Below are 23,308 nucleotides of genomic sequence, written 5' to 3'. Positions count from 1 at the left end.
CAGCTGGGAGGGCATTTCTAAGGTCACAGTGCAAGTAGGAGGCAGAGCCTGGATTAGAAGCCAGGTGTAGCTCCCTGAATCTGGGCTCTGTCCACCATGCTAAATTGCCTGAAGATGGCTTCCCTCCCCATCTCCAGTAACAATCCCTTGTGGCTTCTCTCCAAATACCTGCAGCAATTTTTACCTCCTCCATGAATCTAACAGCTTAATCCAAGTAGGCCCAATAACACTCTGTTTCTTCCCTGTTGAAATTTGATGAAATGTCCACTTAGTCTTGGCCCAAGGCAAATAAGACCAAAACTTTGGTCTTGGCTTCAATTTCTTTTGTTAACATTCCAATTTAATGCTGAGTTTCCCTGGGACCTGTCACTCTTCTCTACTCTCCTCACATAAACCTCTGAGGAGACTAATTGATCCCATCTCCACATTTTCCCCCACCAGACTCTGACCCAATTCAGAAATAGTCTCTTAGGGTCAGGAGAGAGTTATAAATTTTATTAATGGGTATAAGAAGGATGCAACTAGGACCCAATGCTACAGTGTCATTCTGACCACCTACCTGCCCAGTCATAGGCTGTATAGCTGGGTAGCTGGGGGAAGGGAGCCCTTCTCAAGGCAGATGGAGAGACAGAAGGAAGAAAGCACTTGCCCTATAGGACGCGTTGTTTCCAAGAGAGATCCACGAGCAAAGATGCACGGTCCCCTCAACTCTCCCAAGAGAGGCTCTTGTCATCTTCCTCCTCACTGTGGATGGGAGAATGGGTAAGGGGGAGAGAAGAAGGATTTCTTCCTGGATCCTTTCTTGGGAAGGCAGAGGAGGTAGCAGAAGAGCCAGTATTACGGGCCAGGGTGGGATTTGATTCATCAGAATGAAAGGTCTCAAGATGGCCTTTGTGCGAGTCCCTTTTCTTAGAACACCTCTAAGCTTTCCCTGCTGTTCCCGTAGAAAAGCCATTCAGAGTGTCCTGCCTTTTGCCCAAGACCGTGCCACCAAGAAAGACTTCTGGAATAAAATGCAGTTGATAGAGCAACTTCTGCCCACCCTGTGTAATGGGCACCCCCATTCTGTGGGTTCACAGGGTGGGAGAAAAGTCCTTCCTTTTTCTTGGTAAGCTATTGATGGCTTTTCCAGACTATTCTCTCAAGTGGACTTTTATCCTATGTTGTAGCAAAATGATGAATATACCCACTCTGAAATTATTTAGATGTTACATGTTACTGGATTCCTTCGAAACCAGCAACAGTAGCCAAAGACTTAAGGCAGTTGTTTTGATATTGGCACTAATCATCTGTGGTATTTAGGATATGTCTTTTAAACACTTTGGATATCAGTGTTGTTATACATTTAAGAAAAAGGTGATATCAGGTGGATTGTTCCAGGCTCAATGTCTCCCACTTAATGATCTCTGAGATCTTAAGAGCAGTAAGAAAACTCTTGGTTAACTTGGTGTCAACTGTTGACTCGCTCATCTGCAAAACGATTGTTTTTAGAGAAGTAGGAAGGAGTTGAATTTGACAGAAATAAGTGATATATCTCTATGTGTCACTGTCTTAGCAAGCGCAAGACAGCTTTCTGACCTGGTTTACTAGTGGAAATATTTTGTTTGCAAACACTGTTTAGTCAGGAAAGACAAAATGCACCACAGAGCAAAGTGATAGTAAGAGGTTCAAAAGACTGCTGGGTAGTATTTCACAGGCAAATTATCTCCGTGAATATAATCTTGTTGCTACTGAGAATGGGTTATTTCAAATCTCTGAAGCATTAAGAAAGACATTGATTTCCCACAGATATAAATCAGCAGAGTATAAATATACATTTTACAGGAAATTCTATATAGGAGGAAATAAGGGAAAAATAAATGGGTTACCTTAGTGGTAAGGATTAAGTATGTGAAATGCTATATTGTTGTAGACGCTTGCTCTTCCTTTCTCTGGGATACTAAATGATGGTGGCCCTGTCCACAAAAAGGATCATGTTAATTGGACAATGTCTCTTTTTAGAGAAATGTTAAGGTAAAGGGAAAAAGTGAGACAGCATTAAGCAGGGTTCCAGGAATATACATGGCAATGATATTTTCCTTTAAAGTTCAAAATTGGTATTCTGCCCTTTTCTTTTTTTCTTTTAAAGGAAATATTTTGAAAACGGAAACTTGTACTGGGAACTAGTAACCAGTCATACATCTCTTCTACTCTGGAAACTTGGTTGAGATCCAGCTTGAATAGATCAACTAAGTGTTATTCCTCTTACAGTACAGCTTGATTTTCATTTTTGGAATTGGGAAGCTTTATACAATTAATTCACATTAACTTCACCTAAAATAAAATATTATACCTTCTGTCAGATTTCTCAATTTTATTTTCAGCTTATGACTTTTTGTAAGCCTTGACAGACATGTATAGCTTATTGTCACTATTGAATCCACTTAGGATAGTCTGTATATTTTGAGCCTACTAAGTAAATCTTCACCAACTAATAAATTATAACTTATTTAAAATTAAATATGCAGTTTTAAAATTAAGATTCAGAAGCGGAAATGCCTTGCTCAGGCTCATGTATTTGGTTCCTGACATGTGCAATACAACCTGTTCTCCTGATTTATGGAAAATAACTTTGTTTATGGTTGCCGTGGTTTTGAAATAAATGGATATTTTGGTTACTCTCTCTCTATCACACGTGCACGCACACACACACACAAGCACACACACATACACATTCAAAAGTCTCGATAGTAAGTATATAATATTATAGGAAGGAACGAAATGAATTTCCTAAATACATTTATGGACAAGGCGTACATGGCTAAATAATTCATGTATAATTTACAGTTCCTCGAAAGTAGAATGGCAATAGGGGGGTATGAATGGCTTGAAAGTAGCTTCCACATTACAGATTCATGGAAATCCCAAGTCAGTTTGTTATCTGTTGAGTAGAGGAAGAGGTTTTTTCTGAAAGACCAAATCTAGTTTGAGATATAGATACAGACAGATATAGATGTAGGTATAGGATGTGTGTACATCCACAAGCACACATACATAAACACACTACATTTTGAGAGAATGATTCATTGTCCATTTCTAGGAAGTACCACTTATACAAAGTTCAACACGAATGGTACTCCCTCTGGACTTGTGCAATGTGTAGAGCTGGGCGTTTATATTTGAGTATGTTGGAGCTGTCATCACATAAATGTATAACTTCATCAGGCATGTTTTTAAGATTCGTAGAAAACTTCTTAATCATATATGAGTTCTCATGTTTAATTTTTTTATGAGTGAAATAATCTTGCCAAAAAACACTGTATTTAGAAAATCAGTCTAATTTGAATGAGGCTGGTGGATATGACAAGACTTATTTCAGAGGTTGCTACTTTAGTGTAAGTAGATTTAATGCAGATGAAACTCATTCTACTTATTGGCAAGATAAATAGTGGAATCAGGAATTCCCCAAATAGAGTTTCCCCTCTTGCATCTACCATGGTGTGTGAAATTCCTGATATTAGTCATTCCTTTGAGTCATGGTGCTGTCTCTAGACTGGCTTCTGCAGGCCGTTGTTAAAATTATGACATTCTACCCAAGTGGGGCGCATTTACCCTTTTAGCCATCATTATTAATTCAACTTTTAAGACATTTATGGCCGGGCACGGTGGCTCACGCCTGTAATCCCAGCACTCTGGGAGGCCGAGGCGGGTGGATCATGAGGTCAGGAGGTCGAGACCTTCCTGGCTAACATGGTGAAACCCTGTCTCTACTAAAAATACAAAAAATTAGCTAGGCATGGTGTCGGGCACCTGTAGTCCCAGCTACCCAGGAGGCTGAGGCAGGAGAATGGCAAGAACCCAGGAGGCAGAGCTTGCAGTGAGCTGAGATCGCACCACTGTACTCCAGCCGGAGCAACAGAGCAAGACTCTGTCTCAAAAAAAAAAAAAAAAAAAAAAAGACATTTATTAAGGACATGCTATTTTCCTGACAACAATTGGGGTTCATGTATAACACCACTTACTTCCAAAGAGAATGTGAAGCACCTTAAGATGGCTTTGCAAAAAATTTTATACTGGAAATATAATGATCATCTGAAAAGACATGATGGGGAAAAGTATGTTTTGATGGGGTGTTTGAGTGTGTTTAATAGTTGTGACTGCAGAATGTTGGTCTTCGTTTGCTATTATGTTAGTGAAAAGCATGATCTGCTCTGGAATAAATTCATTAATATGCATTTATGGTCCTTCCTCCTTTCCTACATTTCTGGCACTGAACAGTACTCTCAGAGCCATTGTACATTTTCTGCAGTTGGACAGACACTCACTGCAGTAAGAATTTGCCTTGAGAACAGAGCAGGGCTGGTAGACAAGCACGCAATGTGTAGTCTGGTTGTTTCCTGCTTCTGCATATATTCTCCTGTTTAGCTTCAATGTGTTGACAAGGTTGAGGGATGCCGTTTCTCCCAATTTCTCAACATGTGTTTTATTGAAGAGAGTCGCATGTATTTTCTTCTCAGAGACCCTTTCCCATCAATGGAAGGTAAGCCCCGCAAAAGGGAGCAGATTGCATCATTGAGCTCAGGAGGAGCGATTCTAGAGTTTACATCAGAGAAGACTAAGATTTCAAGGGACTGTGGAATCCTTCATTGAAAGTCAACCTCAGATTTAAGAATCAATTATTTAGATCGAGACTTTGGTTCAGCAACCACATAATAATATAAATATAAATATACAACCACAAAAATAATATAATTATTTTTGCTTTTGTTAATTTCTTTTTGACTCTGCTTTATGCATAAATGGAATATAAGATTAATGTGTATATGATCTCCCTCAGGAGAATGAAATATGTGCAGAGGCTATTTGTTTGAAACACTCAGCATCAGATGCACTTCCTTCTCTTTGAGGGACCATCTTCTTCTACTCTTTGTCCATCTGGTTCTGGTAGGGTGTCATATTTGACACTAGGAATGAAATCTGTGATTCAAGCTTGGTCATTTAGTGCATCAAAGCCCCTTAACCACAATGATCGTTGTAGAGATGGGAAAGAGTGAATCCAAGGAAGGTGGAAGGGCTCCTGGGAAAAAACACTTTCTCTTCTCTGCTAGACTGAGCATGGAAGAATGAGCCCAGAGTTGACAGGAGTCACAACATGGAGACTGAAAATGAAGTTAACACAATAGGAGGCAGAGTACAGAGATGGAAACATTTTTATTCAAGTCTTTATTTGAGCCTCTGAGTCAAACCATACCTGAAACTAGCCTCTTTTTGATGAGTGTTACAAGTGTGGGCATTACTAAGTGTGGACAAACTCACACCTTCTAAAAAGGCTCTGGCTAAGTCCATTAGCTGCTTAAACATCTGATACACAAGAAAATGCTGAGGTTTTCAGACATAAAGGATATTGAATATTATGTTTTTTAAAATTTGAGAACTGTTATGAATTTGACTTTTCATTTTTTTTAAAAACTTCTCTTACCTGAAGATTTTGGATTAAATTAAAAGAAAAACTGTGTCTGAATTCCTTCAATCAAATATGATCTTTTGTACCTATCTTTCTCTCGCAATAATTTGTACGCCTATTGTGGCAAAGTTATTTGTATACCTGTCTCATTACCATAACCAATTATAAAGTCCTTTTGAGAAAGGAGAGGCCTATGTATGTATTATAACATAGCACTTAGTCATCTCTTATACCACACTAGTATGCATTAATTAAAGTTACTTGAAGATATGTCTAAAGTCAGGTTGTGGTTGCCTAAAATTCAGGAATTGAGCCAAAAATTAGGTAAAGAAACTAACTGTGTAGTCAAGATTTATTCATCCTTAAAATTAACCACATTTAAGAGTTGACTGCTAACTCTTCTATTGGAAGAGACATACGTAGAACCCCCAAACAGTAGTTAATCCCTACATAAGATATGTTATTTGATTCAAATCTGTTAAAAAAGTTTTGCGTATGTAAATAACACAGAGTCATCCACAGAAAAGGCTTACTAATAAAAATGGTGAATATTCTATAATCTGTCATTTGTCTATCTCTTGCACTAGACTGGCAGTTCCTTAACTTATATCCATAAGTATTGATACACCATATTTGTTGAATAAATGATTACCATATAGAATGAATGAAGGATTTTTCCCTCTTTCACTTTCATTATCCCTTTGAAGCACTTACTAATAATTTTGTCTACTGCTGTATGACTGCTTTTGTCTGCTACTTTGATGGCACTTGTTAGGTGTGTTTCTGTGTGTGTGTGTTTGTGTGTGTGTGTGTGAATGCAGCAGTTGTGAGGGTTGGGTTGGGGGTACTGGGAACTTTTGATCCTTCTAGAGCTCTTTAGTATCAAAAAGTTTCTGCCTCTTTCCTCAGGTCCCAGTTATCTAGTGTGACCATGGGTTTATATATTGTATTTGCATTTTATTTCAGGTCTCAGGTGGAGTATCAGAACACAAATGACAGGTCTTGGATCGTTGGTGTTTGGGGTGCATCGGCTGGGAAAGCCGTGAAGAATCCACTCAGGAGATGTTTTCTGCATTGCTGTAGGGCTGGCCTTGCTGACTTTGTCTGTGTGAAAGGAATAGCCAGACTGTGAAACAGTTTGCTTGTGTTGGCCCCTTACATTTTTGGAGACTTCCATAATCCAATCAATTGTGTAGCAATTGGCACTAAACTTGCCCAGAGACACTCAGCTGAATACATTTTCACACTTAGACACATGCACACCTCATCCCCACTGTGCCTGGCCTGAACATCTGATGGATGAGCCCAAGCTCTCAGTGTTCAGAACATGCATGGGCATCGTGCAGGAGATAGTAGACATTAACAGCACAAGTTCTGAAGGTGGATTTTTTGCATTCAAGTTTGGGTTCTGTCACCTACCAATGTGTGGCCTTGAGTATGATATTTAATATTTACCTAACACCTCAGTGCTTCAATTTCTCCACCTTTTAAATGGGGATATAGCTCTTGGCTCATGGAGTTGTTTTGGAAGATTGAATGAGATAATCCATGAAACGTGCTTAGCTTCATGCCTGCCAAATGGTAATTCTGAGTAGTTGTTGGTTTTTATTACTGCTATTACCATTACTGTCACCACGACCATCACATCATTATCATCATCATCTCCATTATTATCAGCATCAGCATCTCCATCATCTTATGAAGAACAGCTGTTCTGATATTTAAGCCAGAATTTGAGGGTGGGATAAGAAGAGATTTCACATCAGTGCACATGAGCTCTAAAAATTGAGGACCACATGCAAATAAGTTAGTGTTAAAGTCTAAACTCCTGCAGATACATTTGCTGCTTCTCGATGAACGGCTACCTAGATATAGTCCTTAGGGGCAAGACCAAAAGTTGGGTCATGATTTGGTCATTGAAAATCCATGGTAGTCTTTAGGTAACTTTTTGTGTAACTTTCTGATGGTGAGTCATAAATATTGCCTTTGTGTGAAAGGACATATGCACGCAATAGCCACAGGGCATTAAAAAGGTGAGATGGGGAAGCATTTTATATATAAACACACACATATATATACACACATATATACACACATACATATATATGTGTGTGTGTATATATGTGTGTACATACATATATATGTGTGTGTATATATATAAAATGCTTCCCCATCTCACCTTTATATATATATATATGATATATATGAAATATTTCAAAGGAGTGAAAAAACACCCAGCAGATGGGGTGACATGGGGAAACATTTTGCTTGTGTTGGCCCCTTACATTTTTGGAGCCTTCCATAACCCAATCAATGGTGTAGCAATTGGCTCTGAACTTGCCAATTGTTTGGGAAGTTTAGATGGGGAAACAAGCAAAATGTTTCCCCATGTCACTCCATCTGCTGGGTGTTTTTTCACTCCTATGAAATATTTTATATATATTTTATACATATATACACACACACATATATATATGTGTGTGTATATGTTTACACATATATATGTTATAGAAAATGATAAAGGAAATGATAGTTCATAAATTCACTCATGAACTGCAGTTCTGCTGGGTGTTTTTTCACTCCTTTGAAATATTTTATATATATTATATATATATATACATACACACACACACACGTATGTATGTATGTGTGTGTGTGTGTGTGTGTGTGTATATATATATATATATATATATATATATATATATATACGCATATAGGTGTTACAGGAAAGGGGTCCTGATCCGGACCCCAAGAGAAAGTTCTTGGATCTCACATAAGAAAGAATTCAGGGCAAGTCCACAGTGCAAAGCAAAAACAAGTTTACTAAGAGAGTAAAAGAATAAAAGAATGGTTACTCCATAGACAGAGCAACCCTGGGGGCTGCTGGCTGCCCACTTTTACGGTTATTTTTTGATGATATGCTAAACAAGGGGTGGATTATTCATGCCTCCCCTTTTTAGACCAATAGGGTAATGTCCTGACGTTGCCATGGCATTTGTAAACTGTCATGGCTCTAATGGGATTGTAGCAGTGAGGACGACCAGAGGTCACTCTTGTGGCTATCTTGGTTTTGGTGGGTTTTAGCTGGCTTCTTTACTGCAACCTGTTTTATCAGCAAGGTCTTTATGACTTGTACCCTGTGCTGACCTCCTATCTCATCCTGTGACTTAGAATGCCTTAACCATCTGGGAATGAAGCCCAATAGGTCTCAGCCTCATTTTACCCAGCCCCTATTCAAGATGGAGTTGCTCTGGTTCACATGCCTCTGACATATACATTGTTGATCTTCTTCTAGATATATCTATCTATCTAATCTACCTATCTATACCTGTTTATGTTTTTATTTATCTCCATCTCTCTCTCTCTCTCTCACACACACACACACACACACACACACACACACACACATATAAAAGCAGTTAAGTCTGGTTTCTGGTTTCTCTTTTCTAATATAAAATTTGGGGATCTCTGCCATATCTACACTTAATTCTTTTCTACTCTAGAAACTCCAGCAAAGCAGCTCTTGGGGAAGAATGCATTCCTCTGTGAGTTACCTCATGAATGCATAATACGGGAGGGGTGCAGCTGTGATATTTGCTGCACAAGGCAGGATTTGAAAAATTCTGGGAGGTGACTGCTTCTCTTGCCCCAAAGTCTGAAATGGAAGGAAGGAACACATAGTAATAAGTTCTGTATCTAAGCGAAATGCTAGAAGTTCATAGTGCCTGTTTGTGACTCTATCAGTTTTTTTTTTTTTAACCTAAATGGGAAACATAAGCTGCAATGATTTCTGAGGACATCAGCTCCATTATTCGTGTGTCCAGGCTCTCTCGCTTTCCCTCTGCAAACAACTCTGCCTCAGCTTAATGCTGTTGGGCTGCTTGGAATTCCTGACATGGTTCTTCCACATTCCTCACCCCGAAGGGATAATAGTCATTTATAGAGGGGCCACCTTCTATTCACCTCCTGAGAAGGAGGGAGGTTTGAAAAAAAAAAAAAACAAAAAAACTACCAAATGAAGAAAAATGTGAGATATGGTGAGAAAAACATGGAAACAGCCAAGATACTAGAGAGAGATAGAAGCTGATCCATGTGTTCCTCCTATGGGCTTGAAAGGAAGTGATAGTTCATAAATTCACTCATGAACTGCAGTTCTGCTGGGTGTTTTTTCACTCCTTTGAAATATTTTCCTTTTTACGGTGCTCAAATATTTTGCTTTCCCTTTTCTAGGATTCTTAACCTGGGTTGTGATCCCTTTTAACATTTGTTTCTCCTCTTTTTAAAGCTTTGTCTTCCTTTCATTTGCTTTTGCTTCTCTACAGGGTCTTTTTGGTTTTGGCTGACTTTCTTCCAATTTGTGTGTGTGTGCGTGTGTGTGTGTGTGTGCACATGCATCTGTTTGAATAAGAGGATAATGGAGACAAAATTTATAATATATAAACTGGGTAAACCAATTGAGTTTGCAAAAAAGCTGTGTTCTCTGAGGCACATTCTTTTCATCCTGTGCTTAGAGAGACATGTCCTCTGTTGTGTGGTATACCCCAAATCCCGCAGTGAGTGCAAACAGTGGAAAAAATGTCTCCCTTTCCTGCTTTCATACAGGCTACATGAACAGAGGCCACGGTCTCTAGGACAGAGTGATGTCTTTTCTGCTTTCCAGTGAAAAGTCAGTCGAGAGGTAGCATGCTGTGCCTAGTGTCAGAGGCTACAACAGGACGAAGAAGTTATTTTACATGTTGCACAATGAAAGAATGTTGTTTGTGCAAGATCTGATGAGCAGAAGTGCCTATTAGGTGTACCTTGTTAAACCAGCGCCTCATTTAATCATAATGATTGTCTTCTGTGGTGGAGATTAAATTACAGAGCTTCTCCTATATAAACAGGTAGACAATTGAAGTCTTGCTGAAAAGAAAAGCATCCATCCTGGTGCTCCTGGAAATATCTGATTCCTCCAAGGTAGAGAAGAATTTGAAAAATCTGACATTAGAGCATTCAGACAGTTGGGGAAAGAAGCTGCAGCTTTTCCTCCAAGATATATGTATTTTTGGTTTAATGTTCACTCCTGCAGGATGAAAATCAAATCCAAACACAAACTCACTCATAATCACTTTTTTTTATTCTGGAAAACCCTTGAGAACCTCTTTAAAAAGTTATGATTCTTTTTGGTTTGTTTGACTTTTAAGTCTTTCGTAGAGTCTGCAATTATAATTACTGTGCTTCTTTCTTCTAAGACCTGAAAAATTTAATAGGTACCTGAGCAGGACGGTTTAATTTTTGTTTTGAAACTGTGTTACGGCAAAGCTTAGAAATATTATTATTTATTTTCTCATTTCAAATCAAAGTCATTATTCTCAAAAGGTAAAATAAAATAACAGTCACTTTTGGGGAATAAGATTACATCTCAAGGCCATGTCAAAATCTTTACAGCGGCAATTCTCATGGAATTTTCAAAATCTAAAATACAAGGGTCATTTTCAGCCTTTGAGATTGTTTGAAAAGTAATTAAAGTAGTTTTCCTATCACAAAGAAAGAATGCTCATTCACATGTTACCTTTAGAAGAATTACTAAGATTATTTACCTAGTCTGCAATAATATATTGCTGATCTCTTTTTAGCTATTACTTTGCTTAATATATAAAGTTCTGTTAGATCTTGCTATATCATTTAGAGCCTGTGAGTTGAAACGCTATTCTAAAAGCTCTTCTACGAGGAATCATGGAAAAGGAAAGAAAGCAGAATGATTTGAAATAAATAACAAATATAGTCACAGTCAGTGTAAATAATACCAAGAAAAAAATTAATGAAAAGTTTTATTTTGAATTAGTACTTTCAATTCTATACTTTCATACTTATCAATATTGCCTAAATTGGCTCTAAAGCCTTTTATGATTATTCATGACACACATACCTGATGTTCTGGGCCTCAATTTCTACCCCCCCCAACCCCTACCATGTAATTTAAATTTTTAAGTGTGAAATTAAGTTAAATGATCTATGTCCAATAACAGTTATAACAAAGCATGACCTAATTTTCTTGATTCTATTACAATGTACAATGATTTTGTTTTCTAATAAATATTTGTTTTGTTCAAACCAGCAAAAGAAAGGAGTTTGAGCCTTACATGACTTCTTGCTAAACCCTGTTATAATGCAAATGAATTTTGTTTTCTTCCCTAGGAAGCATAACATTTGACCCATTTGAGAGGAACTCTTCCATTTGAAAAGCTTTGCTCTTAAAAGCGATGGTTTTAAGATCTGAATCAAACACCACCGTATTACTAACAATTCAAACATAATGAAAATAAACTATCTCCATTTTCACTATATCTCTAAGTTTGAAGGCTATATTAAGTGACTAAAATGTGCAGTAAGATTTAGAGTACCACTCCAGACTCCAGGCCTAGTACAAGTCACATCTCAACCTTTATAGAAAATGTTCTGTTTTCTTGGAATGCCTTTCTCTTGCTCCTCCAGGTCACTTTTCAAGGATGACATCAAATGCCACTCTCTCTGTGAAGTATTTGTCATGTCTCCTCTCTGCATTCTGTCACATGCAGAAGTAGAGGCTCCCTCTGCCATGTTTCTAATCTACCTCTTCATGTCTATTATAGTGCTCATTGTGTTATAATTATTTGTATCTATATGTTGTTAGATGATACATTATTTGAAGGAAGTAGCCATGTATTCACCTTATAACTGAATTCAATATCAGGCATAGAACAGATGTTTGATAAGTATTTGTTACCTAGAACAATGAAAAAACAAACAATTTGTTACCTAGAACAACAGCAAGAAACTTCAGGTCCTCTCATTTGGTAATCAGTGACTTTTAAGCTCTTGGTAAAGTAACACTCTGTAAAAAATACTTATTTTACATCACAACTTAGAACACACTGACACAAACGCAACTGATAGTTTTATAATACAGCATTTTCTACCTTTAATATGTGTGAGGTACACTGATATTTTCTATTCTGTTCTAGTTTTAAAATTTGGTCTGACCCACCAAATTGATTTCATAACCCAGCTGGTTGTGGCCCACAGTTTGAAAAGCATTATTTCTCCTTTTGGCTTTAGGAAGATCTATTTATTTCATCTGGTTTCAGAGCAATCTGTTCTGTTTTAAAGGTTATCAAAGATTCATATTATTGTAGCCATCTTCAAAACACTTGTTCTACTAGAAATAATCAATGTGTAAATTAAATGTTATTTTAATAGTCTCTAATTGCTAAATTTCTTCCAGTGCTCCTCTTATATATTTTGTTGGAGAGATAAGCAAGTAAAAAGTTATCTAATCCTGGTTTTACTTAGTGCATAAGAGATTTTACCATATTCCATAATGGAATATAAGGAGTGAAGTGCCAAAAAGTTCAGGTGCCCTGAGAGCTGGCCAGTAGCCACCACATATAATGTATTTGAATTCACACAACAAGGAATCAGTTTCCAAGAAACATGCAAAAGGATGTTCTTGAAATAACTACCTGGAGAATTCAAAGTCTTAGCAACTGATTATAATTCTTGACTCCAAACCTACAGAAGAAAAAATACTGAGGAAAACCATTTCTATGATCCAGAAAGTTAACACCACAAATCAACTTACAAAAACACTTAATGACATACCATGGCCATTCTGCTGTGCTTAGGTTATAATGGGGCAATGACTTATTGGGAAACTTTCATTGGAAAATAGATAGTCGAGGACAGGTCCTCCTCTCTGAAGTCAGAGAGAACTAGTCACCCTCTTCCTGACCTCCATGATCTTACTGCCCACTGATAGGCTATCCTGAGTAGAAGGGAGATAAGATGGCCCTTCTGGACAACTCAAAGGGATCCCTTTTGAAAGTGAAAATGTTTTGAAGTTTTTTCATGCCTGAGCTAAATACAGGCACTGCATCTTCTTATATGTAAACATGGGGCTTTTGATAGGTAGACACCATCTTCTAAATCCAGCAACACCACTGAAGTCTGATGGCCGGTAGAAGAATAATGTAAATTTTTCCAAAATGCTTTGAATCTCTGGTTCAGTCAATATAATTTTATTCTTTAGAGCTACACGGTCCCATAAAGTAGGATTAGCCACATAGGGCTATGCCAACTAAAAGTAATTAAAATTAAACAAAATGAAAAATTCAGTTCTTTAGTCAGAGTGATTCCACATCAAGTGCCTAGTATCCATTACTGTGGAAGGTTCTATTGGTTCTGTACAGTGCTGTCTATAGCCATTTCATTTTATTAACATCTGATGTCTTTGGTTGCTTGCTTGATTGCTAAAAAAGGAAAAGTGGAAGGACGGTGGAGCCTTGCTTGTCCATGTTAGGAAAACGTTTATTTCAGCCTCTACAGGGCTTCTTATCTAAAAGTCTTCTATGCTCACTCTTATTGGGTCCTTTACATGGGTCCATTCCAGCTCCTGCCTTGATCCTGTCTAATCAATCCTTCTCACTGCTTCCAGCGTTAGCATTCTTTTTTTTTTTTTTTTTTTTTTTTTTTTTTTTTTTTTTTTTTTTTTTTTGAGACGGAGTCTGGCTCTGTTGCCCAGGCTGGAGTGCAGAGGCACGATCTCGGCTCACTGCAAGCTCCGCCTCGCGGGTTCACGCCATCCTCCTGCCTCAGCCTCCCGGGTAGCTGGGACTACAGGCACCCGCCACCACGCCTGGCTAATTTTTTGTAATTTTAGTAGAGACGGGGTTTCACCGTGTTAGCCAGGACCAGGGTTAGCATTCTTAACCACAGGGCAATGGAAGTTATTTTTTTCCTAGGAAAACTTCAACTCTTCCCCATTACTCACAGAGTAACTTTTACTTACCTTGATTTGGATTTGATCTGGCCCGAACCAACCCTTTCAGCTCTTTTTCTGTTTCTCTGACTATCCTATGCCCTGGCCACACTCAAATTCAAACACCCTTGGCTGCCTACCCACATAACTTTAGTCTTTTGCTCATGCTGTTCCTTGGAGCTCTAGGAAACGTGTCCATGCATCTTGGTTCAGTTTATGTGCCAGAACCTTTGTGAAAACTTCACAATCTCGCTGAACCAAAGTGTGTCACTACCTTGTCTAAGTGCTCACAGCACTTGCAGTTCTATTACATTTTTTTTCCACTTAAATTTTTACGTGTTTAACTCTCCTACTGGGTGATAAGCTTTTTGATGCACAAGATCTTGCACCTCTGTGTCCTGCATAGCTTTCTACACATAGCTGTTTAACAAGAAATACACAAAGAGAGTTGAATTTAATTTGGGGTGAGGATAGAAAAAATGGTTAACTGGAGTCAGGGAGGGTGTGCTTAGAGAACCATTGCTGGGGGTTGTGTAGGATTATAAAGGATGCAGACTGGAGGAGGACTGAGGTTAAGATGAGAAATCTACCCTTGGCAGTGCTGAAAAACATAACAGAATTGTGCGGCAGCACTGCAGGCTGCCAATGTTTCATAGGTCACAAAACACCACGAGGCATTCCTCCTGATGGAGGTCAACCTCCAGCAGAGTGAGTCACTCTCTCCCTGTGCCCATGAGGCCCTTAATCCATGGCTCTGCAATATTCCAAGGCCTCAGGCTGAGCACTTCCTGGTGTCAGGGCCACCCTCTTGCTCTATCCTGCCTCCTTACCATGCACACTGCCCCATCCATCCTAGGGCCCAGTTTCATGCATCCCATAAGGAAGTTTGCAGTAAATTCTGACTGAATAAATTCAACTGTGAGCTAAGACCTGAGTGAAGGTAACCACAGGCAGAATCTAAAGCATGTAGATTGCCGAGTACAAACAGGAATGCGGAATATGTTGCCGGAGTAATTTTATTTATTTTCAAACAGCGCAGGGTCTTTGGGTCATCTCCACCATTTAACCCAGCGATATCTTGGCATCCCTGGAATGCTGAATGCTGTTTGATCAGTCATCACGTCTCCTTTCCACAAAAGGGCCTGTTTTTACTGAAGATAAAACTCTCTTTCCTCGTCTTCAAAAGGAAGCTCAGTACATTACAAAAAAAAAAAAAAAATTCCCCCTTTGACTTTTTCTCACTCTAAGTTTCCCAGGGGTCGATGTGAAGTGAAGGAGAATGTGGAGAATTGGAGCTGGAAGTGTTAGGAACCTAGAGCTCTTTTCCACGAATGGGAGGGAAGTTCATCAAAGCACATGTGTGGTCAAAGAAGCTTAAAAATAAACCTGATTTCTAACACAGAAAAGAAAAACTCATTAAGCTTTCAATAAGCTGCTTTTTTCAAGGAATAAAAAAATAAAAAAAGAGAAAGAAATGTCTGCCAACAGAGGAAAAGGCAATACACTCTTCCAAAAGGATCTTTTGAGTAAAAGGAACATGTAAATTCCAAGAAAAGTTAGTTAGAAAGAACAGTTTATTCTCACTGGTTCCTTCTCATCACATCAGTATTTATTTCCCCAAATGCCCTTTATTTATTCATTTTAAAGTATTATAGGTGTCTACATGTTGGTCAGGGCATAAGGAACTTTTCTTACCGCAAAGACCCTTTGGGACACCAAGCAGAGACCTCAGCTATCCTTTTAAATTCTCAGGACTCTGAAACCTAATGTCTGCGTAGACTAACAGGAGGACTGCTGGAAGAAGGCAGGAGCCCAAGTAGTTAGCACATAGGCCGCTTACCAAGAAAATCACCAGGGTGTTCCAGCGTGAGCTGGTTTGACATCAATCCATACGATGGGGTTAGCGTGTGCCAGCTTCAGACTGTGTAACTTCTATTTACCGAAACTGTAACACATACTCATTGTGAGCTACAATTATCCACAGTTTAGTATGTTTATGAAACTATTTTGTGGTTATTTATTAAAAATAAAATTTATGTGTGCTTATTGAAGCTATATTTTGGCAGGCAAAAGAGGTTGGCAGAAATGTCTGAGTCAACAGCGGGCACTAGCCACTCTTTATGTCGTCATATAAAAACTTGTCAAATAATATTTAGTTTTTAATCTTCAGTTGCAAACATAAGGTTAGTCATGAAAAATATTCTGTGAGTTGGTCTCCTTGAAACAGGAGACTGGGTGTTTGGATTTAACTAAAGGTGATAATTAAGTTTCTGGCTTGTTTAAGGGTGATCTGTTATCCCTTTTCTCCCACCAACTTCTACTACCTGTTTTTTTATCCATGTTCCTCTTCCTTATGTCTTTAAGAGCTGTTTCATAATGATTTTTCATAATATGAGCTGTTTATCTACCAATACAAAAATGCAAAGACAAATGTATTACTCATGATCAAGGATAAATTATCCTGCCTGTATGGTCATGGTAGTATTCTCTTGGAGATCTTTTGGGAGCAAATGGATTATTTATTTTTTCTGAAATTTTTAGTTAATTATTTTATTTATTTATTGAGACAGGGTCTTGCTCTGTTTCCCAGGCTGGAGTGCAGTGGTGCAATCACAGCTCACTGCAGCCTCAAATTCCTAGGCTTAAGCCGTCCTCCCACCTTAGCCTTCCAAGTAGCTGGGAGCACAGGTGCATGCCACCACACCTGGTTAATTTATTTTTCGTAGAGATGGTGTCTCCCTATGTTGCCCAGGTTGGTCTCAAACTCCTGGGCTCTAGTGATCCTTCCACTTCAGCTGCCTGAGTAGCGGGGAACACAGCCACGTGCCACCGCACCTGGCTAATTTTTCATTTATTGTAGAGATGGGGTCTCCCTATGTTGCCCAGGCTGGTCTTGAACTCCTAGGCTCTAGCAATTCTCCCACTTCAGCCTCCCAAAATGCTGGGATTACAGGTGTGAACCACCACACCCAGCTAGTTATTTAAATCACTATACTTACTTTCCAAGGGCCTTTTAAGAAGGAGGTTCTTCTTCTTTTTTTTTTTTTTGTTTTTTTTGTTTGTTTGTTTGTTTTTGGAAGGAGGTTCTTCTTAAAGTGGCCACAGTTAGCTTCAGGAATGTATAGTCCATCATAATTAACTATGTGTACTTACACACAAACTGGAATCATAGGAGTTTGTTCATAGGGATCCTGAATGGATAGAAAAATGGCATTAAGTAAGGGGCCTTGGGATTAGAAAGGATATTCTATGAATAGGTGGAAAAAGGAATTCTTTGTCTTTGACTCTACTTGCATAAAGATTCAACAGGAGAAGAGGAAAGATTTAGTATGGAATTGTTCAAGAATAAATCTTTCGTAAAGGGGAGATTCTGAGATGTGATAAATTGGAGTTGAAAAGACAGCCCAATGTACTTCTTGCTACTTCCTTAAATACCTTGAGTATGAGTCACTGCTGAGGTTGTGCTTTAGTTTTCCTTGAAAGAATTTCTGATCTCAACCATAGAAGACATTTGTAAATTTTATATGTCAATTGTCTCTCGTGTCTCTGGAGTTTTGCTTTGGTTCTAGTAGAAGAGCTGTTTTGAGCATGCCCTTGTTGACAGCGATTTGGTCCTGCAACAGAGTATTTGCTGCCAAGTAACCTAATCCACACACATTTTATTTATTTATTGAGTATCTTTTGTGAGCAAAGCTCTGTGCCAGGTGCTATAGAGAATGTACACCTAAGAGCCATTCCTCTAAGAAGGATGTAAAGTGAAAAAATGTGTTATCTATGAGTGGTCTCTATACCATAGTCTACAGAAGTTTGGATGCCATCATAGGGTTGAAACCTTATTTTGGATCCACCAAACACAATAATTCTGAGAACTGCAGGAATTTGGTATATTTGAAAACAAACATGCAGCAGAATAGGGCAAGAGAGTGGAAGGGAGGAATGTGTCTGGATCAGTAGGATCCAAATGAACCCATCACATGGTTTCAAAAGTCTTGTAGATAGCGTTCCCGAGGATGCAATTTGAGCCAGAGTCTGGTGAGAAGGATGTTCACTAGAAGGACTAGTCTTGGATTAACACATGTGGAAGCAGGAGAAGGAAGAAGGATTGGGCAGAGAGATAAGGGGCACTGGGGTTTGGGCCCAGTGACAGCCTTGGTTGACCCCATGAGGAGCAGTGGAACTATAATGGTTCTCCAGGGGGGTCCCCAGTTGGGTTGAGATGATTGGGCTTTTATACCTTCACATTGACCAATCACTGGATGAGGGCCTCCCCAGGATGGAGTGTGACCTCCTGGGTCAAGGCAGTTCTTTGCAGCTGCAACAACCCTGAAGGGGCTGGCAACACTCTCAGCCCATGGACAACAAGTCTTTATTGAAGGGGGATCTGAGTGGTGCACCTTGGTGTCTACCTCAAAAATCTTATTTGCATTAAAAAAATCATGTTTTCAGTTTTGGGAGAATAGTTTAGTGAGGAACAGAGTAGGAGTGGAAACCAATTAGAACACTTTTGAAATTGTTCAATGGAAGATGATCATGATGGTTTGAACTGCAAAGTTACTGTAAAATTGCAGAGTAGTAAATGGAACCGAAAGGCATTTTTTGACACAGATTTTATAGGAATAGGAAATGGATTCCATGGGTTACACAAGGGATAGAAATATACCTAGGATAAATCTGAGTCTTGCCATGAGCAAGTGGGAAAATAGAGATACCATTTATAGAGGAGGGACTTCTTGAGAAGAATTGTGAGCAGGGGCAGAAATGGGACTGAAGACTATTGGTGATTCAGCCAAGTGGTGTGCAGCCATGCAGGAAGTTGGATACACAATTCTGGAGCTTAGGAAGAAGGTCTGGAATGTTGTTTTATAATATGTTGCTGTGTTGCTGCAGAACCTCAGCAGGTGATAACTCCTAGGGAGGGAATGTGATAAACTGGGAAGGAGGTTCACAGAGAAGCCTAAGGCATGGCCATCTCTAGAAGTAAAGGAATGAACAGAGGACACAGAGGAGCTATCAGAGAGGCCTGAAGAAAACCAGCACCATGTGGTTTCCTTGAGGCTTAGGGAGGAGAACATTGAAAAAGCATTGTTAGCATTCTTTGAATACTAATGAGGAAGAACATCTATTTTAATTGTTATTGGTCATTTATTAACAACTTGATGGAGGCATATTTAACATATCATATAATTCACCCATTTCAAGTGTACAATTCAATGATTGCCTTTTCTTTAGTAAATCTACCAAGTTATATAATCATCATCCTAAACCAATTTTAGAATATTTTTATCACCCAACTAAGATTCTTCATGCAGATTCATTTGTTTTAGTCTTTATTTTGAGAAGCGCCTTTTAAATTAGCTTTTGCCTTTTTATTTTTAAATTTTTTTATTTTCAGGAACTTTTAAAAAAATTGGTATTTTGTTTTTTTGGATATGTATTTGAAAAATTGCTCTTCCATGTTGTCATTTATCCTTCAACCCAGTTTGTGAAGATGTTTTTCTCTGCAGAAACTTTACAGTTTTACGGAGTTAAATGTAATGGTCATTTCTTATATAAATAACTGCTTTTTTTATTTTTGATGTTATTAGAAAGCATTTTTTCCAAGATTATAAAAGTATTTTCCTATATATTCTCCTATAATTCTTCTTGTTTTAATTTTTGGATTTTGATTTCTGTTTCCTTTGGAATTTATTTTGTTTTAAGGAAATAAGTGGTGATCCAGTTTTACCTTGTTTTCCAAACTGCTGGCCAATTGTTCCAAAACCAATTGTTCATGAATAAATATTGTCTCCATTGATTTGGGCTAAATTACCATATTCTGCCTATGTTGGATCTATCCCTGCCTTAATGCCACACTGTTTTATTTACTATTCCTTAGCAATACCTTTTAGTGTCTAATAGCATGAGACTGTAATAGAACTTGGTTAAGTGTCCATGTGACTGAGTGTATTAAAAAATTTTGTTACTACCCTCTTTCTCTAGCATCTCCCTTGGCCTTTTGTCTCTCTTTGGCTGCAATTAGACCCTCATTCCAAATATATCCTGCTAACCCTATGGCTTTGAGTTCATTTGTTTTAGCTGCCAAACTCTCAAAATAATTCTGATTCTTCAGCCAGACTGTAATTTGGAAGTTTGATTGTTTTGTTTGTTGGCTGCTTCTTAATCTGAGGGAAGTTCATCATCATCTGCAGTCCATTTTCTGGGTAATGTAAGGTAAACACCATCTTGTGATGCCTGAAAGGAAGAGTTAACTATTATAATTCTATTGGTCAATTGTCATATTTAATTCAATTCTCTATAAATAACAGACTTTTGTGACAGTTTTGTGTTGTATTTCACTCTGTCTTTCTGGTAGGCTTCAAATGAATCTGAAGTTGAGGGTTATTTTTCCACTGGCTGTTGACTGACATTGGCTGTCTTTATTCATTGCATCAGCTTGAAATATTGCCTCAATTTTGCAGAGCACTTTTTCTGCATGATCTTTGTGGTTTTTGTTTTGTTTTGTTTTGTTTTTTTTAATTGTTTTGTTGCACACAAGAAGGCTTCTACATATCAGCAAATGGACTCTGGAATTTTGATGTTGTCTGTGGCTTATAAAATCAAAAGGATAGAAAGTAGTTTTACAGGCAGCTTCAGCCTCTTATTATTGTTTGGGATTAAAAGGTGATTTGGAGTAAGATTCTTATATATGCTATTTCTCTACATTGTTGAGTAAAAGGTTGTCAGTTACAACCAAAGTTGTACAGGTAGTTTTCAGACCTTAGTTGAAATGTAGGGTAGTGAGACTTTTATTCAGAGCAAAAGCCTAAGAGTAATCATAGTAGGTAGTCAGATGAGCAGAGGCCGGTGCCAGAAGACCTCATTAGGCTGCTGGCTCTGTCAGCCAGTGGCCTTGTGCAGGAAATTTCACTTCTCTGAATCCTGGATTTCTCATCTGTGAAAGGAAGGGATAATAAACATCTGTCACCTTAGGATTGACATGAATGGAAAGAATATATAGAAATGTGTTAGATAGGATAAGAAGCTAGGGAAATATTGAGTAGTGTTGAGGTTAAATGTCTTGCCTTTCCTTGGCTTGGAAGTGTTCACATTAATTGGAGGCAAAGTAAATGATGTGGTTCATCCAATCTAAATCACCATAGATTGTCAGATATATCATTCTTTCATTTCCCACTGGAGAAAAATCCTCCCAATTTCATCATTGAGTTTAAGACATCTAGATTTCTGAGATGTCAAAATCTGAAAGAAATCTGTGTCTTACGGATGAAATATAGTAAGTAGAGAAAATATCAAAGATGTGGACTGATTGGGGAGAAGATCAGTCTGAATTAGTGATAATCAGACATATAGGATCTTTTAAAAAGGGATACAATTTCTAACTTTTGAATTTATAATAGATGACATAGGTTAAATTAACAGGTCACTAAAGAAATTGCCTTAATGAATAGATAACTGAGTCTGTGGCACCTGGCCCCCACTGGGCCCTGAGCGGATCATCTGATTTAGCTTTAGCTTTTTGGGGACCCTGTCGAGTTTTCCACAGGAGATACTTCAAGCTGTTTCCATACTCTCCAGGCTCCTGCCCCGTGTCCACTGGCCAGCTGTTAATTTCTCCACTTCTACTTGGGTGGAAGCAACTGTAGTTTTCCTGATCTTCATCCCAGCCTGTCTTTCCTTCTGTTTTAGTTCAAAATGTCTCTTTTCTCTTCCAAGATTACAATTAAAATTATACCTGAATATGTCTTTCTGGAAATTTTGCTTTATTTACTTTCTTAACTTTCTCCAGTTGGTTTAAAAATTTTGCTTTCTAGTGGGCTAACATTTTCCTAATTGAAAATGTCCTTTTAACCTGTTAACTGTTGAGAGGCGGTATAGTTAAGTCAATAAAAGCATGAGCTACAGAACCATATTCTGTAAGTTTAAATATCAGCTTGTCTCTAACTAGCAGGATATATTGGGAAATTATTTAACATATCTGTTCTCCAATTGTTTCACTTGGAAAGTTGGGACATTGGACACTTGGGACTTCATGTTTGCCTCATAGAGTTGTTTAAGAATTAAATGAATATATATATATATTCATTTAAGTGAATGAATATATATATATATTCATTTAAGTGAATGAATATATATATATTTATTTAAGTGAATGAATATATATATATTCATTTAAGTGAATGAATATATATATTCATTTAAGTGAATGAATATATATATTCATTTAAGTGAATGAATATATATATATTCATTTAAGTGAATGAATATATATATTCATTTAAGTGAATGAATATATATATTCATTTAAGTGAATGAATATATATATTCATTTAAGTGAATGAATATATATATTCATTTAAGTGAATGAATATATATGTATTCATTTAAGTGAATGAATATATATATGTATTCATTTAAGTGAATGAATATATATATGTATTCATTTAAGTGAATGAATATATATATGTTCATTTAAGTGAATGAATATATATATATTCATTTAAGTGAATGAATATATATATATTCATTTAAGTGAATGAATATATATATATTCATTTAAGTGAATGAATATATATATATATTCATTTAAGTGAATGAATATATATATATATTCATTTAAGTGAATGAATACATATATGTTCATTTAAGTGAATGAATACATATATGTTCATTTAAGTGAATGAATACATATATGTTCATTTAAGTGAATGAATACATATATGTTCATTTAAGTGAATGAATACATATATGTTCATTTAAGTGAATGAATATATATATGTTCATTTAAGTGAATGAATATATATATGTTCATTTAAGTGAATGAATATATATATGTTCATTTAAGTGAATGAATATATATATGTTCATTTAAGTGAATGAATATATATATGTTCATTTAAGTGAATGAATATATATATGTTCATTTAAGTGAATGAATATATATATGTTCATTTAAGTGAATGAATATATATATGTTCATTTAAGTGAATGAATATATATATGTTCATTTAAGTGAATGAATATATATATGTTCATTTAAGTGAATGAATATATATATGTTCATTTAAGTGAATGAATATATATATGTTCATTTA

At 37.3% G+C, this 23,308-nt stretch overlaps 3 annotated features.

Moving 5' to 3' along the window:
• Window positions 9,043-9,544: an enhancer, noted in NCBI's record as "NANOG hESC enhancer chr2:227348646-227349147 (GRCh37/hg19 assembly coordinates)". NCBI's record gives its function as "activates a minimal SCP1, AML or CMV promoter by ChIP-STARR-seq in primed H9 embryonic stem cells {active_cell/tissue: H9 hESC(primed)}" and the evidence as "EXISTENCE:reporter gene assay evidence [ECO:0000049][PMID:30033119]".
• Window positions 14,999-15,549: an enhancer, noted in NCBI's record as "NANOG-H3K27ac hESC enhancer chr2:227342641-227343191 (GRCh37/hg19 assembly coordinates)". NCBI's record gives its function as "activates a minimal SCP1, AML or CMV promoter by ChIP-STARR-seq in naive H9 embryonic stem cells {active_cell/tissue: H9 hESC(naive)}" and the evidence as "EXISTENCE:reporter gene assay evidence [ECO:0000049][PMID:30033119]".
• Window positions 15,067-15,361: a silencer, noted in NCBI's record as "tiled region #10671; HepG2 Repressive DNase matched - State 5:Enh". NCBI's record gives its function as "represses a minimal TATA promoter and a strong SV40 promoter by Sharpr-MPRA in HepG2 cells {active_cell/tissue: HepG2}" and the evidence as "EXISTENCE:reporter gene assay evidence [ECO:0000049][PMID:27701403]".

This window comes from Homo sapiens, chromosome 2 (genome assembly GCF_000001405.40).
Source record: "Homo sapiens chromosome 2, GRCh38.p14 Primary Assembly".
Lineage (NCBI taxonomy): Eukaryota > Metazoa > Chordata > Mammalia > Primates > Hominidae > Homo > Homo sapiens.
This window is presented reverse-complemented; position numbering and strand designations above follow the sequence as displayed.